The 18,994-nt window shown below is 37.2% G+C and overlaps 1 protein-coding gene across 16 annotated transcripts in view, besides 1 other annotated feature; it reads left to right on the plus strand.

Annotated features, from left to right (window-relative positions):
- PPARG (peroxisome proliferator activated receptor gamma) overlaps nt 1-18,994 on the plus strand; it is a 146,977-nt gene that overhangs the window by 54,420 nt on the left and 73,563 nt on the right. For 3 of the 16 annotated variants that reach the window (NM_015869.5, NM_001374265.1, NM_001354668.2), the window contains exon 1: nt 9,630-9,887. The exons of 12 other annotated variants lie outside the window; for them this stretch is intronic. In NM_015869.5, the coding sequence (NP_056953.2) occupies nt 9,806-9,887 (82 nt within the window). In that variant the 5' untranslated portion in view covers nt 9,630-9,805. Of the gene's footprint in view, nt 1-3,019; nt 3,108-9,629; nt 9,888-18,994 lie in introns of those variants that run through there. One more of the 16 variants, NM_001374262.3, reaches the window with a different exon arrangement.
- Nucleotides 2,877-4,076: an enhancer, noted in NCBI's record as "P300/CBP strongly-dependent group 1 enhancer chr3:12386163-12387362 (GRCh37/hg19 assembly coordinates)". NCBI's record gives its function as "activates an origin of replication core promoter dependent on BRD2, BRD4, P300/CBP, MED14 and CDK7 cofactors, with strong dependence on P300/CBP, by STARR-seq in HCT116 cells {active_cell/tissue: HCT116}" and the evidence as "EXISTENCE:reporter gene assay evidence [ECO:0000049][PMID:35650434]".

Raw genomic sequence — 18,994 nt, forward strand, 5'->3', positions numbered from 1 at the left:
AACAGAGCAAGACCCTGTCTCAAAAAAAGAAAAAAAATTTCCTACTAATAAATGTGGAAAGAGTGGTGGAATTAGAAAAACATTTCATAAACTCCAAGTATTGATTCAGGAAAAGATGATAAAGTTTGTTACACCTTTAGGTGAATGATTAATGAAACTGAACATCCTTGTAATACCAAAGTAACATTGCACTGATGACTGTCTAATTGAAGGAGAAAAAGTAACTGTACAATGGAGAGATGAGACATATCACCATTCTAACTTAGTGGTAGATTTTACCATGGCTGATGGTCAGTCATATATTTTGCCTTCTGATGTGATGGAATAGGAAGTACACATCCCCTATGGTATATTCAAGCCTAAAATGTTTAACTTGAATCCAGAAATCCTTGGATATAGTGTCCAGTTTATAAGAAACACAGGGGATGGAGAATCAAGCTAAATGATACAACAAGAAAACAACCAGACAAATTCAGAGGTTGAGACATTCTATCTGATAACTGGCCTGACCTCTTCAATTAGTCAGTGGCCTTAAAATTAAGGGGAAGGAGTAGTCATGCTAGATTTAAAACAGCTTAGGAACATACAGCCAAATGCATTTCATCATACTGGATTAGATTAGGGTTGGAGCAAACCAACTATAAAGAACATTTGGGGTCAGCTGGGGAAATGTGACTATGGGCTGGGTATTGTTTGAAATGAAAATGTAATTAAATGAAAAGATGGAGATTATTGACTTGAAAAAGCAGAGGACTACCAGGAAGTACCATATCTCATTTTGATTAAAAAATACACATGCTGTATGTATGTGTATATGTGTATGTGCTTATGTATCTGTATATACATATGATCATACATATGCCCAGAAAAAGACCCAGATGCATAAACTTTAAGAGTTCAACATTGGTTATATCTGGTAGTGGAAGTATAATCATTTTGTTTTTACCAGTCTGTATTTTCTAATTTTTAACAATGAACGCGGATTGGTTCTATAATAATGAAAGGTGGTTTTTTTTTTTTAAACAAAAAAACCCCTACCTTTTCAGATAGAAAAGCAGCAGTGTATTCTTTCCTTCAAGGAAAATGAAAATGTTTCCTTGGAGGAAAGAAGATATAAAGACTAGAAAACACTCTAGTATCTTTAAAAACCACCAAGCTTTCAAATACAAAGATTTAACATATGTAAACTGTATTGTACTTCATTTGAAATTCAGTATCTTTACTAAAGAGATTTCTTTTATCCTATCCTACACACGTACAGTATTATTTAATGATGTGCACACAGAACTCTGCCAGCCTGAAACAGTAGGTCTAAGACACGTTTGTTGTTTTTGGCTCCCCTGTGTTGATCTAAATCACTGCCTAGTAGCCCTTGGAAATTTCTATCCCAAAACGTCCCACAGGTGCCCAATACCATGGATTCTCATTCCCCAAGTTCATTCTCACTCTTCTCTCTTGGTTGAGTCTTGCCTTTCTTCACTCTGTTCCCTTTCCTTGTTCCTGCCATCCAAAGCTTCTCTGTCTTTCAGGCTCATCTCAGATTTCCTCTCTTTCCTGAAGGCTTTTTGGATTCCTTCCATCTCCATGCACAGTCAGAAGGGCTCTGTTCATCTCTGAATATCTTTCGCACTCCATTGCATCTGGTTTAAATCCCTTCTCTGCCTCTTATTAGCTATGTGATCTCAAAACTCAATTTCTTTATCTGTAAAATGGTGATAATAAATGACTTCGCAGGGTTGAGGGCCTCAAGTCAGTGGCGAGTACTGCAGTAGAGGCAGAATACATAGCTCAACAGAAATTACTCTAGTAATGGTCATGATTGTTTGCACTTCTCTCAAACCACCTACTCGTATATTAGAGTGCATTGTGCTTGTCTTATCCTCTTTACTAAAAGTAGGAAAATGGCTTGAGAATTGATGCTCAGTCTTATTTATATTATTCTATCCCTAGTTATGTGATACTTAACTGTATTGCTCGGTATTTAGCAGCCCATTATCTAATCATAACATCACCCTCATTCTTTCTGAGCTTGTTTCCTTTTTGTGAAATGGGGCTACCATTCAATCTCACCGAATTTTTTTTTTTTTTTTTGAGACAGAATCTTGCTCTATCACCCAGGCTGGAGTGCAGTGGGGCAAACTCGGCTCACTACAACCTCTGCCTCCCAAGTTCAAGTACTTATCGTGCCTCAGCCTCCTGAGTACCTGGGAATACAAGCATGTGCCATCACACCCAGCTCATTTTTGTATTTTTGGTAGAGACAGGGTTTCGCCATGTTGGCCAGGCTGGTCTCAAACTCCTGACCTCAGGTGATCCACCCACCTCGGCTTCCCAAAGTCCTGGGATTACAGGTGTGAGCCACCACGCCCAGCCAATCTCACAGAATTTTTATAAAGTCTAGACAAATTTTTATTTTAAAAGACTTAGCACAGCCCCTGACAGCGTAGGCACTCAATAAATGTGGAATCTGAATCTTACTTAAAGCTAGTTTATATTTTCAAGTCTTCTTACTTTTACTAATGCTGCTTTAAGATATATTCTATAAGTTCAAATGTAAAGTTCTAGATTGGGAAAGAATTTATAATGTGTCTAATAAAGATTGTTAGAGACAAACTTTTAGACTGAACCATCTACTATTAATGGACTGATGAATCTTACCGGAAAATAAACATAAAATATACTCTGTGTTGCCTGTGGTTTAATTGCCATCAAAATTAAGTTTATTATGTACTGATTTCACAGTTACATTTTATTTTCAGTCAAATATCTATTTGTTGGTGTGAAGAAAATATGTCTACTTCCGCTAAGTGAACTTTAAAAATTTGTACTTGCTTTTGAAGATTCCATACTCTATATACCGTCTCTTCCTGAAGCGTATTTATGTAGCTCCTGTTAACATAAGAGCGATAAGAGTGTTGCTTGATGACTGCTCTTATTGCTTTATTAAAGTGTCATGTAAGATTTAAATATTTGATTATAAGAATTCATAATATAATTTTGAAAGCCTACTCTGTTCCAGACGCTGATTTATTTAAATCATCTCTAATTCTCACAACTCCGAAAAGATAAGAAAACAGAGATGTGACAAGGCTTGAATGCAAACCCAGGTCTGTTTGACTCTTTGTTCATTTTGAATAAAGACAAATTACTCAAAGCTTTACTGCCAAAAACTATTATCTGGTTCCACATTGAAACCCTATTCAATAGTTGTTATTATTTTCTTCTTTTGCTTTGAATAACCTCCCAGCATTGTTGTGAGTTTCAAACGAAATAAAAACACTATACAGATCCAAGGTGTTTTTTTTTAGAGTATTGTTACCTCAAAGTAGAAATTTTCAAATAGTAATGTTATCATTTTCTTAAGAGCAAGGAACTTTGTCAATAGAAACAAAAACATCATACCAGAAGAACCCCAGAATGCTGGGATGACTCATGAAGAATCTGTGAATGAGGCAAGAGAACATTCGTCAGCAAAATGACTCCGTGAACTGATGTTCAAATATTATCAAATTTTAATTACCGAGTCATAATTGAGTACTTACTTTGTAGAGAGCACCATATCTAAACCCTGTGGTGAATGATGACATTTTCATAGGTAATTCCTCCACATTAAGTGATTCATCATAGAAAAATGCTTTCATGCTGATGACTTCCACCATGACTGTTGGCATTAAGGATCATTGACCTGAAGAACTGATTTGAACGTCTTACTGCATCATTTTAATGAGATAGAGCATCGTTTGGAGCTTTGGACTGGGAATCAAGAAACCTGGTTTCTAGCTCAAACTCTGCTGCTAATTTATCTAGGTCATGCTTTGGGCAAATCATTTCATTCCTCTGGAACCCATTTTCCTTATATCAAAAATTAAGAGTTGGAATATGCTAATCTCCCTCCTATTAAGTTTCGTGAGCCCGTGATTTCAACAGTACGTAAATTTCCTTTAGTACAGTCACAGAACTGGTAAGTGACACCAGCTGAAACTGAGTGCAGCTCCGCGGCTCTACGCTTGCTGTAGAACCTTTGTGAATTCCCACTGTGCTTCACCAGTGACAGGATGTGCTACCCAATAAATCTCCATATAACTGATCTTGAAAAATTCATTGATAAAATCTGAAAACTGAAAAAGATACATGTTTTAGAGGTTTAGGTTTCCCACAACATGAAAATGTGTCAGTTGATAATATAGTTCATGGTATTTTACTATGCTAGAAAACAGCTTACTAGAGAATTTCAGATATTACATGCAACGACAAGTTAACATAGTTTAGGTGGGACGTCTTTGGTTCAAAGTTACAGTAATTTCAAAAGTGTTTAGTTGATCCCTAGAAAGTGGTTAAACAGGTTAGTCTCTTTTTCAGGTATTAGAGGGAAGTTAACTTTTGAAGCTGGGCAGAAAAGGAAGTTTTCAGTTGGTTTTTTCCTTTTGAGACTTTTAATTTATCATCAGACACTATTTTTTCAGATGAAAGTGCCTTTTATACTGTCACCTAGGTATGAGTCAAGTATGAAAAGGAAATAGTAACTCAGGATCAGAACATGAATAAGTATGCAATATGGAGAATTTCCATTAAATTTTAAATAAATGAATTACAGTCATATTATTCAGTATCTCAACATTAAAACTCAAAAAGACCTTAAGGATTATTCTGTTTTGTGGAAAGGGCTTTTTCTGATTCTAGAGATGAGAAATGTGGACCCAAAGAGTTGACACAGTAGGTTTGTGGCTGAGCCAAGACAAAAACGTAAAACCTAGGCTTTCTGGCTCCAATGTCAGTGTTCTTTTCTACTGCTTCTGAGTTAAGAAGACCTTTTTTTTTTTGATACCAAAGATACATTTACTGGAGTTATTGGCTTCTTTTTTTTTAAGACAGGGTCTCACTCTGTCACCCAGGCTAGAGTGCAGTGATGCGATTACAGCTCACTGCAGCCTCGGTCTCCTGGGCTCAAGCATCCCTCCTGCCTCAGCCTCTCAAGTAGCTGACACTACAGGTACATGCCACCATGCCTGGCCAATTATTTTATTTTTTTATAGAGGCAGGGTCTCACTCTGTTGCCCAGGCTGGTCTCCAACTCCTGGGCTCAAGGGATCCTCTTGCCTTAGCCACCCAAAGTGCTGGGATTGCAGGTGTGAGCCATTGCACCTAGCAGCATTATTTTCCTTTAAATCAAAATAATATAATTGTTTAATATAATTATGTCCATAAAATATATTACTTTTGAAAATCTGAACAAAATTACAGTTTTTGGTTAAAGAAGAATGGATTTGCCTTTCAAAAAAATGATACACGAGAGACTGAGGCAGGAGAATTTCTTGAATCTGGGAGGTGGAGGTAGGTTGCAATGAGCCTAGATTGTGCCACTGCACTCCAGCCTGAGGGACAGAGTGAGACCCTGTCTCAAAAAAAAAAAGACACAGCTGAGTGTGGTGGCGAGCAACTGAAATCCTAGCTGCTCTGGAGGCTGAGGCAGGGGGGTCACTTGAGCCCAGGAGTTGGAGACTAGCCTGGGCAACATAGCAAGACCCCGGTCAAAAATTTTTTTAATTTAAAAAATTTTCCAAAAGGGGCACAGATACATTGAACATTGACCTTCCTTTGTCTGCTTTTATGGGACTATCCGGCTTGTTGTGATGGTTGTGGTGAAATTTACATCCAGGATACAGGATTATTTGTTCTTCTCAAAGGAGTGTCCCATTGGCCCAGCATTTCTCTCATGTTGTCTCTCCCCTGGGACTATGAAGAAACCCTGAACTGATGCAACCACCACTTGAAAATAAAGTTCCAAGCCAATCTGAATTGCACTAGGAAAAGGCAGCCATTCTTTTGGGTAGGGGGAGAAGTGAGCTTGGCTGGTCATTCTGGTTGTTAGCAATTATCTGGCTTCCGTGGGAGCATCATCCAGAAATTTACATCTTATTGAAACAAGAAGAAAATGGATGCTATTATCAGTTCGTTAGGTCTCTAAACTCCTTCTTGAATGATACATGTGATATGGATGTGCTGTTCTTTCATTACTCTCATCATCAACAAAAACAATATGTGTGTTTTAATGCCAACCAGGGACTCTGCTAGGTTCTAGGGATGCAATGAGATCTAAATGCTTAACCTTTTAGAAGCTAGCATAAATGTTAGTAGCACTTACAGCATTAAATGAAGCAGATTTTTAAATGAGGTTATAGCAAAAGAAAAAAATACTGTACATACAATTTTATACCAATACTAACATAGCTTATTTCACACAAAAGAAAAAGCTATTTAAGCAATTTTAAAAATTCATATTCATTCTAGAGAATAAATTCCAAATTTATAGCAAAAAAAGAGTGAAGTTTTCATTAGCTTTCAAGAATAATGCAGGCTCCAAAGTATTTAATATTCTATATTATGGGAATATTTTATGTAAGTCATCCCAACACCAAGTAATGCTAAAAATAACTTTATATAGGTTCAATACCATGATTTTATTAACTATAGATTTTTAGACCTTTTCTTACTTTTTGTTATTGAATCATTCACAGCTTTTATTGGTTGAATTGCCTTCTCCTAAAAGTACCAAAGTGTGAAGAGTTTTTATGGCTGAGTAATATTCAGATTCTTGTAGCCAAAGACAGGTTCTGTGAAGTAATATTGAAGACTAAATGTTGAAGAGTAGCTTTCTCTAATACCAAGCGGTCAATTTTTTCAAATATCATGAACTGGGGTAGAGTTAAGTTTTCATCCTCCTCATTATAGAATCATTCCTCATTATCCCCATTCTTTCTCCTGCTGAGGATGTGGTGGTGTACTCAAAGTCACATCCATACCCTTCTGTCTCCAAAGTCCTAGGAGAGATGGCCCTCTTCTCAACCTCTACATTGCACAGAACCTTACATCCCTCAACAGAAGGAGTACATAGTGCATAAGGAAAGTGGTCTTTTACCACTCCTCCTCACTCTGTAACATTACCAAGGACTATCCTGCAAGGGGACCATCCATAGGATGAATAGCAATAGACTGCTGCATTGACGTGCAAAGTGCTGACAACCCATTGGTGTACAAAGCACCCTAAGCAAGATCTAAAGTTCTAAGATCTTATCATGTAAATCACCAGCATGCTGTTTTATGTATCTTATTGTAATATCCTTCCAATCAGTATTATAAAGGGCAGGACACTGGGGGAATCTTAAGGCTTTGAAGATAGGGATAGTCACGTGCATGTCTTATAAATTCTCTGATGATCATATACTGTTTACTGGTAGTAATGACTGTACTTAAACAAATATATTGTTTCTCATATCATTGCATGCCAATTGACCTTCAAGTTTAAGCCAATGAAAAGATCACTCTTTTAAGTATATTTGGATAATTTTGATATAGTTACATGTGAACTCATTAAGTATAGAAACCTTGGCTTATTATTTACCACCTAAGCCTAGGTCAGTACCTGGTGCTTAGTAGGTATTTGATGAATGATGGGATGAATAAATGTGGAAATAAGTCTTTTCAGTATCTAAAGACAAAACAGATACATAATAAGATACAAATGAGATTGGCTCATCTATCTTTATTTTCATTCATTTGAATGTCCATGTAAGCAAGTTATTTCTTAAGTGACCCAGCACTGCAGTGCAACTATCATTAACATAAAATATGATTAAATAATCCACATTGTATAACTGTTTTGTTAGTAATGTAGGGATGCTTTGCGTGTTGCTTGGTTTGTGTATGCTGCCAAAAGTGTAAGCAACATTTACTGAGCTGCTATGTGGCAGGCCCTGTGTTTATTAAAATTGTAGTTTTTGCTAATTGACTGTTTTTTGACACATCCGTCTTGTTCATCATTGTCTACCTAGCACCTAGCTTTAGGCTTGCCACATATTATATTGGCAATGAATATTTGTTGAACAAACAAATGCATGAAATGTAATGAGTAAGACAGGTTTTCGCTTTCAAGTAAAACATAGTCTGGGGGAAGACGGAATGTCAGAATGTGGTGGGTGCTATAGGAGTAGGTGTTATCAGATTCTGATGCTATGGAATAATAAATTGTTAAAATATGTAATCTTATGTTTCAGAAGCTAAAGCACAGTATGGGAACTATTAGAGGCTTAGAAGGCCTCACTACCCACTAGACTCAGAAGTTGAATAGTGTCTGAGAAAAAAGAGAATAGAAGTAACAGTAGATGAAGAGTCCAGAAGTGAGACCCTTTGAGGACATGAGGACAGGTGGAAGGACTGCATCTGTGTGTTGCCAAAGAGTAACAGAGACTGGTATAGGACTTGAGTTCAATTCAGTCATATCCTTAAGTATTGTGCCATCGTGTCTGGATTACTTTGTAGTATAAGTAAATTTCCAAGCATGGGGAGGAAAGGAGAAGCTCCTTTATTGAGAATTCAACTGAATATAGAGAAAACTAATTTTACACAACTGTAATCACTGTAGTCATTTGGACAAATTAGCAAACCCAAGTTTTGCTTTAACTTGGATTGCCTTAATAAAGATGTTTTGGGGCTTAATGGCACAGTTGCTCAACTCCCCCACTTTATTCCGTGATGTTCAGACCCAGCCAGCATTTCCCCATCAGGCTCTTGCACCATGATTGACAGGGACACTTTTACTAGTCCCCTTGAAGAATGAATAGTTACTCAATGGAGATTAACCAGATATATATTTATTTTACTCAGAATATCACGATAAGTATAATTCAGAGAATTATTGCCTTCTAATATACTGCCCTGTGTGGGGGCGTCTTTGAAAGTCCGCAAAGTCACTGCAATTCTAATAGGCCACTCATGTGACAAGACCTGCTCCCACATCGGTAATTTGGCACAGCTAGTATTTCTCCTTGCCAAAAAGGGCAAAGGCCTTGAGCAAGAAGCCAGCTTTTTCCTGATTACAAAACTGACCACAATTCCTCGCCAACCTAACAGCGTAAGTCTATTTTTTTCTGGTGGTGTGTTATTCTTCTCATAGAGAACTCCATTTTTTCATTATGACATAGCACTTATCGTTTAAACATCAATTGATGTTCAAACATCAGCTGGTGTAACATTGCTGCAGTTGCTATTGATGGATAAGCTGAAGTTTTTAAGAAAGCAAACCCGATGTATAAAATTGAAACCATATCAAACCCTTCTTCATTCTCTCAGCTATTTAATTTTACAGAATTTAGATAGCAGTCAGTATCATTTTGGGCTTCACAAATCAGTAGAGTAAGTACCTTAGGAATATAACATTTCAGTAGCATGCTGATACCAACGTTTAAACTATGGATACATATTTGAATTCCAAATTTTTCTTCAAATAATGTGATTAGAGATTCAACCAGGAATAGACACCGAAAGAAAACTTTGCCCAAATAAGCTTTCTGGTATTTCATAAGCAAGAGATTTAAGTTTTCCATTTAAGAAGCAATTGTGAATTTTACAACAATAAAAAATGCAAGTGGATATTGAACAGTCTCTGCTCTGATAATTCTAAATACAGTACAGTTCACGCCCCTCACAAGACACTGAACATGTGGGTCACCGGCGAGACAGTGTGGCAATATTTTCCCTGTAATGTACCAAGTCTTGCCAAAGCAGTGAACATTATGACACAACTTTTTGTCACAGCTGGCTCCTAATAGGACAGTGCCAGCCAATTCAAGCCCAGTCCTTTCTGTGTTTATTCCCATCTCTCCCAAATATTTGGAAACTGATGTCTTGACTCATGGGTGTATTCACAAATTCTGTTACTTCAAGTCTTTTTCTTTTAACGGATTGATCTTTTGCTAGATAGAGACAAAATATCAGTGTGAATTACAGCAAACCCCTATTCCATGCTGTTATGGGTGAAACTCTGGGAGATTCTCCTATTGACCCAGAAAGCGATTCCTTCACTGATACACTGTCTGCAAACATATCACAAGGTAAAGTTCCTTCCAGATACGGCTATTGGGGACGTGGGGGCATTTATGTAAGGGTAAAATTGCTCTTGTAGTTTGTCTTCCAGGTTGTGTTTGTTTTAATACTATCATGTGTACACTCCAGTATTTTAATGCTTAGCTCGTTGCTATCGCGTTCATTTAAAAACATGTTCAGAACCTTAAAAAAGGAAACCTAACCTAATCTATTTTATCTCTGTGCATGGCTCCCATTTCCTGAATTTTAAGCATTAAAGGTATAGTTATATCCAAAAACAATCCTGTTCATTTTTATTTCCTGAGTTTGCATAGATTTCCCAAGAATACATAAGGGCTTTTTAGACTTGAAGGGTCACTTTTTCCTCTTTTCATCTCATATGTTAGAGATCTCTCATAACTGTTTTTATCCCTCTTGCAGCACTTTTATTCCTCTTGAAGTACTCTCAGCTCTTTTCTGTTCTATTTTGAAATCTAGGTATTGTGTGTGCACTTCAGCTCTCCCAAAGAATTGTAAATTCCCAGAGTGTAGGACCAAGTGGTGCTCTTTATTAGATTTCTTAGGATACTTCCTAGCATAGTGCCTAATGCATTGCAGAATAGATTGTCGGAACCTTGAAAAATATCTGTTCCAAGCATCACATTTTATGCATAAAGAAAATGAGGTCCCTAAAACAGTAAATGCCTATTGCAAGTGACTACCTATTAACTTCTCTTCAGATGTGTCAGAATCAGATACCTCCTTTTCAATATTTCTTTCTTGGCCATTGCAAAATATAAGTTCTCCATTTCTATAGCTCCTTCTACTGGAGTTTCTTAGCACAGCCTTTTCTGTTTTGTATTGTCTCGTATTGATGTCTATATTTCTATTCATTTTATTTTTCTCTTCTCAGATTCTGTGTAAAAATAGATTGTTAGCTAGTGTGATTCATGTTTTATAATATAAGTGCTAAAGCATTAAAATTAAGTCACTTAATTGCTGAAATGGATGGCTTTACATTTTAACCTTTTAATTTTCCTGGAAGCCTGAAGTTTGAACATATTAGTCACCGTTTTTAAAATATAAAGCTTTTTAAAAATGAGTAAGAAAATGTTTCCTGAAGTACTGTTTTATTTTATTACAGTAATTTGATTCAACATGTATTTCTATCATCTAAGCCTCTTAACTAGGAGTTTTGTTTTATTCCATAAATTGTTGTTATTCTGTTTTTCTGCAAGCCATAAAAATTGTTGCTATCTTTCTTCAGTTATTAATTTAGCCTGCCTCAGGGCAGAATGTCCTGGCTATACTGTGAAATAGTTCTTGAGTCAAAATTTGATAGTTTTGTCTATTTTGAAAGAACATGTCTAGAATGCAGTGCAACAAATATCAACAAATAGGTTAACTGAGAGGCAAGTACTGTTTGTGGTAAGGGATGGTTATGTGATTCAAGTTAGTTTTCATTCTGTGCTAATCTCTAATTTTATGCTTTGAATTTACTCTGAGTTTAATTTTTTTGAGTCTCAATTTCCTCTAAAAGAATGATCCAGTACTTTTCTTCCTAATTAACATAGTGCAGAATGAAATTATTAGCAATTAAAACATTATATTTTGTACCAATAATTTAACCCTTGTCTTATAGGGTCTCTGGCTACTACTTCTTCATAAGCACTGTTTCTCTGTTAAAAATGTGAGCTCCTAAAGGCCCAAGACCTATGATTGTTACTCCTATTGCATTTTGTAAATGACCTTTAAATAATTACTCCACCTCTTCCAAAACAGACAGACTTAAAAATAAATTAGCTATATGATCATCATTAGCCGAGGCCAGCAGAGTTGAACACTGTGGAGTTGAGGTATTTGGCATGGGTACAGTAGTCCTCTTAGGTGCTCCTTCTTCCTCATCATAGGCAAAGTGAAATTGGGGGTGTTGCAAATGGTTGGGTACTGCTATTTAAGAAAAAGTGGCACATTTAGTGTGAATGACTCAGATATCCAGGTAGATTGGTCATATTCATGAGATTAAAAATCTCGACTACACTTAGCCACTATGCCCAAAGAGGACTTCCATACTTTTTCCAAGGCTCCATCATTGCTGTGACCCCTTTATATTATTCCCCTTTCTCTTTTTATCAAGAGCTCCTCAAGCAACCCCAAGTAACCTCATGCTGGCTCTGAAACCATTTCCACTAGTAAAAATTGGCAAGATTGAAGGGAAGCTTCCACAAGCTCAAGCTGAATATGCCTCCTGCTTTTAGTGCCAGACTTAGTCCTGTGTGAATTCTACAATTTTAAGTCGTTGCACCAGAGCCTTGAAAGATGATGACACACTTGTCCTTTGGAGCTGATTGAGCAATGGAAATATGCCTTAGAGACATGATAAATGCTGCAATAGACAATCCTTCAAAACGAGTCTCTCCTGAGATAGGAGTGAGTGATTGATTGCATGCCATTTTTATTGAGGGATACTTAATCTGTGGTTACATATCTCCAGGCAACTGTATATTCAGAAACATTTAGATAACTGACCAAAGTTTTCACCTTTCCAGAAGTTTAAAGGGACCCATGTAGTACCAGGGAATATAAGGACCAGTCCTTTGTTGGCCACATATTTGCTGTGTGAATTTAAGCACGCCATTTTTCTTCTCTGGCCTTCTGTTTCCACATATATTAACAGAATACACAGGATTAATGGGAGGATTAAATGACACAATACTTGTGCAAGTAGATCTAAAGCCCTATATGGAATTTATTGCTTTAGCCTTGTAGCGTTAATCACTTGTGGCTAGAATAGAAGGCTCCGTTTAAAAAAAGAAAAGGCTGGGTACAGTGGCTCACATCTGTAATCCCACAACTTTGGGAGGCCGAGGCGGGCAGATCACGAGGTCAGGAGGTCAAGAGGTCAAGACCATCCTGGCTAACACGATGAAACCCTGTCTCTACTAAAAATACAAAAAATTAGCCAGGCGTGGTGGTGGGCGCCTGTAGTCCCAGCTACTCAGGAGGCTGAGGTAGGAGAATGGCGTGAACCCAGGAGGCAGAGGTTGCAGTGAGGCTGAGATTGCGCCACTGCACTCCAGCCTGGGCGACAGAGCGAGACTCCATCTCAAAAAAAAAAAAAAAAAAGAAAAGAAACCTACATTTTAAACACTTTATGGATATGGAAAAACAAAAACCGCAGAACTCTTTATTGCACAAGAGTAAGTGGCAGTTATATGAATGAAGCGGGGCATCCGCATGATCTCCTGTGAGTGTTTTGAGAAGATGATCAAACTTAGAGAAAGCATCTTTGTGTCTAATTTTTTTAAATGATGAAATTATTTCCCACTTTCATTAATATTTTCCTGTGAAGAAATTGAAGTTATTCTTTGGGCCTAAATAAAAGTGACAATTACATGTTTTCTTCTCAGAGGCATTGAGAAACTTGGATTATAATGTTTTTCGTACACTGAAGTAGAAGTCCAGAAAAGATTTGAGTTATTGACACAGATCTTCTTTTTTTTTTGAGACAGAGCCTCACTCTGTCACCCAGGCTAGAGTGCAGAGGCCTGATATCATATTTCACCACAGCCTCAACCTCCCTGGGCTTCGGTGATCCTCCCACCTCAGCCTCACTAGTAGCTGGGACTACAGGCGTACCTTACCACACCCAGCAAATTTTTGTAATTTTTATAGAGACAGGATTTCACCATGTTGTCCAAGCTGGTCTTGAACTCCTGGGCTCAAGGAATTCTCCCGCCTCGACCTCCCAAAGTGCTGGGATTACAGGCGTGAGCCATCGCAGCCTGCCCCTGAATTCCATAATTTCACGTGTAATTAGAATTCAAGACCTTTTTCTTGAATATTACTCTTGTCCATATTAATTTTTTTCTGAGTATGGCTCTAGCTTTATCATTTTTTTCTGACTTAACTCTGATTAACCTCTTTTTTCATCACCAGTACTTGGCAGATTTTGTAGATTTCTAAACTCTGAAAATCACTGTTTTTCTGAAAACTGTCATTTGTCTCATACTTTCCTCCAAAATTATGAATTATAGGAAACACCCCAAAGAAGTATCATTTACATTAGCTGTTTACAAGAAAATACAGGGTTTCATTTTTAATTTTATTTTCCCCTACTATCTCTAAGGAATACAACTTGTCTTGAAAGCTCCCTGACAGCAGCTATCCATTTAATCTGCCAATTGCAGTATAAAAATTGGTTATTAAATGAAAAACAATTGTATACCTCTCACAGAGGTTGTCATATATTACTATTTTTGTCAGCATTCTCACTTATAACTCTGTTAGGATAATCCTGGGAAAATTTCTAAAATCTTCATAGCTCTTTCGTTAGGTACATATTCCTTGAGACAGAGGAAATCTGAGCAAAGTAAATTTCTTCATTATCTTAGATCAACAAAAGTGATACAGAGCTTCTGTCCTGTTAGCTCCCTTTGGACGCTTAAAATAGGCACTAGAGGTTGTCCAGTAAATGCTTCATATCCATCTACTAGTGCTGAATATTTGTGAAAATATAGGTGATAATGAATTAGACTCGTTTGAATGGAATTAAGTTTCTGTAAAGTTTTACCAGATTGTCTTTTTTTTGTTTTTTGTTTTTTGTTTTGGTAAAAGCAGTTTTGCACCTGTAACTAATTTAAAGACGAAGAAATTGCACATGTAACTGATAGCAACTGCCATCCAACTCTTATAACCTCAGAATCAAGATCACGTGGCTATTTGAGTACACAGTGTTTTAAACCGTGTAATTTTTATTTGAGCAAGGGATTGCCAACACAAGATCGAGGTTCCCACAAGTGGTGAATGGCACTTGTGGTTAACACTGTAAAGCAGATTTAAAACAGTCAACTGTCAATTGCCTACAAGGGAATTATTCCTCATCACCTCATGCCAGGTTTTTATATGGCCTTTTAGCTGACCTTCTAAATGAGAAACTTTGCCATCCAGTGCAAACTGCCAATAGTCCTAAAATGCCTATCTTTATTATCAGTCTAATAATATTTATTGAGTGCCGATTTTCAAGGCACCATAGTGAATGCTGTGAAATCTAGACACTTTTTCCCTGGCTTTCAAAGCTCTTTATAATCCAGGCATATTTTATATATTTTACCTTATTTCTCACCACATTCCAGGCATTGGCCTGTCTTGCTCTGTTCACACTAATCTCTTTGTCCCAAGAGTAAGGCCGACCCACCCTTGCTCCAAGCCTAGTATGTCTTGAAATGCCTTTCCTAATTCTTCCATCTTTTCAAATCGTCCCTGTCCTTCAAGGTCAGCTTCAAGTAACCTCTACTCCGTGAAGCATTCTCTGAATTCATTGCTGTTCATTGCTCCCTCTCTCCTCTAAACTGAAAATGTGTTCAGAATATCTCTCTTCTGCCGCTTCCACTGCCTTCAGCCCAGTCCAGGACACCGTCTGTGCCTGGCTGCTAGTCTCTTGATGGGGTTTTCAGCTTCCATCCTAACCTCACAACAGCCTAGTCTCAACCGGTCACCCACAGAGATGATGCTCAAATGTGAGTCAGATCCGTCACTCCACCCATAGCCCTGCAGTGGTTCCCCATTTCACTTGTAACAAAAGTCCAAGTCTGGCCCCTACCTCCTGCCCTACCCCAGCTGACCCCTCTGGTCTTCTCTCTCTCTTCCACCCACTCTGCTCCAAGCACGCCGGCCTCCTTGCTGTTCCTTCCACATTCCAGATGCTCTCCTGCCTTCGTGCACCTGCCCCAGCTCTTGTTCCTGTCCAGGACCCTCTTCCTCTGGCATTCTCTGGGCCACCTCTGTCAATTCCCTATAATCTTGGCTCAAATCTTACCTTAGAGTGAGGGTGACCTTGGCCTTCCCTATCCTAGGACAGGGGAATTACATATCCTCCCCATTGCCCTTCCTCCTCTACTCTACAATTTCCTATTTAAAAAGCATTTATCGTCTTCTAACATGCCATGTAATTTATTGGTGGATTCTATGTATTGCTTACTGTCTGCTTCACCTCCCTGGAATGTTAACCGCATGAAGGCAGAGATCTTTGTCTAGTTTGTTCACCCACTGATGTATTCCAAATACCTGAATAGTATTGCTCATTAATACTTGCTAAATGAAAGAATAGAATCCTCTAACACTTACGGCTTCTATCACACAATTTAGCCCTGAGTTCAAACTGTCTGGTATTATTTCCTGTTTTATGTATTCCCTAAGCCAAATCATATAGTCACTGAAGAAAAGATCCATGTTTTATTCTATATTCCACAAATGCCAAACACATAATAAGTATAATCAGGTCTTGTTGACTTATTAATACCAAGCTGATCTCCTAAGGTCAGAGACTGGAATATATTTAGCAAATAAATACAAAATTTTAGTGTATGTTAAATATTATTCTAAAACCAATGCTAATATAAACAAACCAAGTACTGGATATGCTACAAACCAGGCACAAATATGTTTTGAATTATCTGTTAGTTAATTTGCACCGTGTCCCTCCATTAGTTTGAGTAGCATTCATTGAATATCATTTGAATATTAATTTAAACATCATTTGTTTGTGAGTTACCCAAATCCCTGGCTTCTTCTGCAAATCTACCCACCTTTTGATACTTCCATTATTTATTTGAACATCCAAAACACTTATTTGCTAGCAATGTTTAAAAAAGAGTAGCTTATTTAATTAGCTAATATCTAATATATGAAGCACTTAAAGTATTAATTGCCTGATATGTAATAGGTGCCAAACACGTCAGTTCTGTCTTCTTCTCATCTTTAAAATGGAAGTTAATACAGACATAATGTCTCCCCTTGGGTCTTTTAAGTCAGATCTTTAGGAAAAAGTAAAATATTCTCATTATTCTTATTATTTTGCTTGCATTAGCAATAAAGTATGCCTGATTTAAGTTCACTGGACATTATCTTACTATTATCTATACTTTACCTAAAGCCCTGCCTTTAGTTTTGTAAATAAAATTATAGACCTATTAGATAGATTGAGCAAGTTTGCTTAGTGGATTAAAATATGATGCTAATAAGAGCCAAAGTGAGTTTGATAATGGGTTGGCCAGATTTACACAGAAGTCTTTGCCATTTACAAAGAGTTCTGTTTGCCATTGATACAGTCACATTTCTAGCCACAATTACCCAAGATATGTAAACAGTTAACTCAGGAGAAACCAACTCAATTTTCAGGTATATGCCATATACAAAATCTCATCACCTTTGCTATTATATACACTTAGTATTATTTCTTAAGCAATATCATGTAATATAAGGGGCACGTTGATGACAGGGACATGTACCTTTTTCTTGGGATTTCAATATGAATGACCATCCAAATCTTGATCATCCCAATGGCTCCACATAATTTGGACACCATGTCTACCAGAAAGCTATCCCTGATTATTTCAGGACATGTTAGTATCTTTCTTTTCCACATTTCTAAAGTACTTACTATCTCTATCACGAGTCTGGTCTCTGTACTTCCTTCTGCTACTAAACATCTCTCACCTTGGTAAGCTTCTCAAGAACCACAATACTATGTGTTTCTTGTAAGGCCTGAAAAACACCTTGCACGTAGTATTAGGTGATTAGCTATCTTGATTTAAGGTTTTAGATTACTGATTGAACATTTACTGAGCTGAAGATATAGAGAAAGAAAAATGCCAAAGAAAATAAAATGAGGAAGTTTGGAAAAGAGAAACACACTAGTAAAATATGATGGTAACTTCTAAGAAGCAAGGTTTATAAAATAGATTGTTGATACAAAGAAAACATTATAAAAAAATGGGTAGCTTGAATGGATTTAACCCCCAACTTTATTTAATTTAAATGGAATGCCTCAAAAGACTACTCAGCTGATCCAAACATAGTAACTTCCCAAACACAAGACTCTTGACGTAGGCCTCAGAATTTGGGGAAAAAAATTCCTGCATTGTTTAAAAATACAGTGTCCTTGTAAAGCAGAATAGGCCTTATATACAAGCCAAATATATCAGTTCTAAAGCAAAAACAAAACTTTTCCTACTTACTCTTTTATTTCTTTTTTTTTTTTTTTTTTGAGACAGAGTCTCACTCTGTCACCCAGGCTGAAGTGCAGTGGCGCCGTCTCAGCTCACTGCAACCTCTGCCCCCTGGGTTCACACAATCCTCCTGCCTCAGCCTCCCGAGTAACTGGGATTAGAGGCACCCACCACCACGCCTGGCTAATTTTGTATTTTTAGTAGAGACGGGGTTTCACCATGTTGGCAGGGTGGTCTCAAACTCCTGATCTCAAGTGATCCGACTGCCTGCACTTTTCAAAGTGCTGGATTGCAGATGTGAGCCACTATGCCCAGCCTGCTTCACTCTTTTAGATAAAATGTACACCCTTTGAATTTTTACTTCCGCCATTTACACTGATTTGAAGTCCTTGGTTGAATATGTATTTAGCCTTCACTGTGCAAGGAAGCTGGTTACAAAAACAGATAGTTTATTAAAATACTTGTGTTGGTTTTTAAAAAAGAATAATTTTAATACAGTTTTTCTCTTCTTTCTTTTTGCTCTTTTTGTTATTTTTTAATAGAGACACGGTCTGGCTATGTTGTTCAGACTGGTTTCGAACTCTGGCCTCAAGTGGTCCTCCCATCTTGGCTTCCCAAAGTGCTGGGATTACAGATGTGAGCCACCATGGCTGGCCTTAATACTGTTTTATGAGTTCTGAATTGAATAATTTTTAAGTGAATGTCCTAAAATTCTATGACAATCCTTTTAACACAACTGGAAGAGTTTTTGTTGGCTTACTTGGTTTGTCTGCATGTTTCCTTCTGTCATCCCCCACTCCTAGGACCCATATGGAACATTCTCTCTTAATTAACTCTTTTATTGAAGTATAATATACTTAGAGGAAAAATGTCCAAATCATTTTCACAAGTGAACATACTTGCGAAATTAGCACCCAGACAAAAAAAAAAAAAAACAGAACAATACCAGCACTCCAGAAGCCCTCTGACTATTCTAATTTCTAACTCATTGTTAAGTTTTGCCCAGTTTTGAATTTTATATAAATAAAATTACACATTGTTTACTCTTTTGTGTCTGGATTCTTTTGCTTAGCATTTATTCGTGAGATTAATCACACTATTGAATGTAATTGTACTTCATTCTCATT

The sequence above is a fragment of the Homo sapiens genome, chromosome 3 (assembly GCF_000001405.40).
Source record: "Homo sapiens chromosome 3, GRCh38.p14 Primary Assembly".
NCBI lineage: Eukaryota > Metazoa > Chordata > Mammalia > Primates > Hominidae > Homo > Homo sapiens.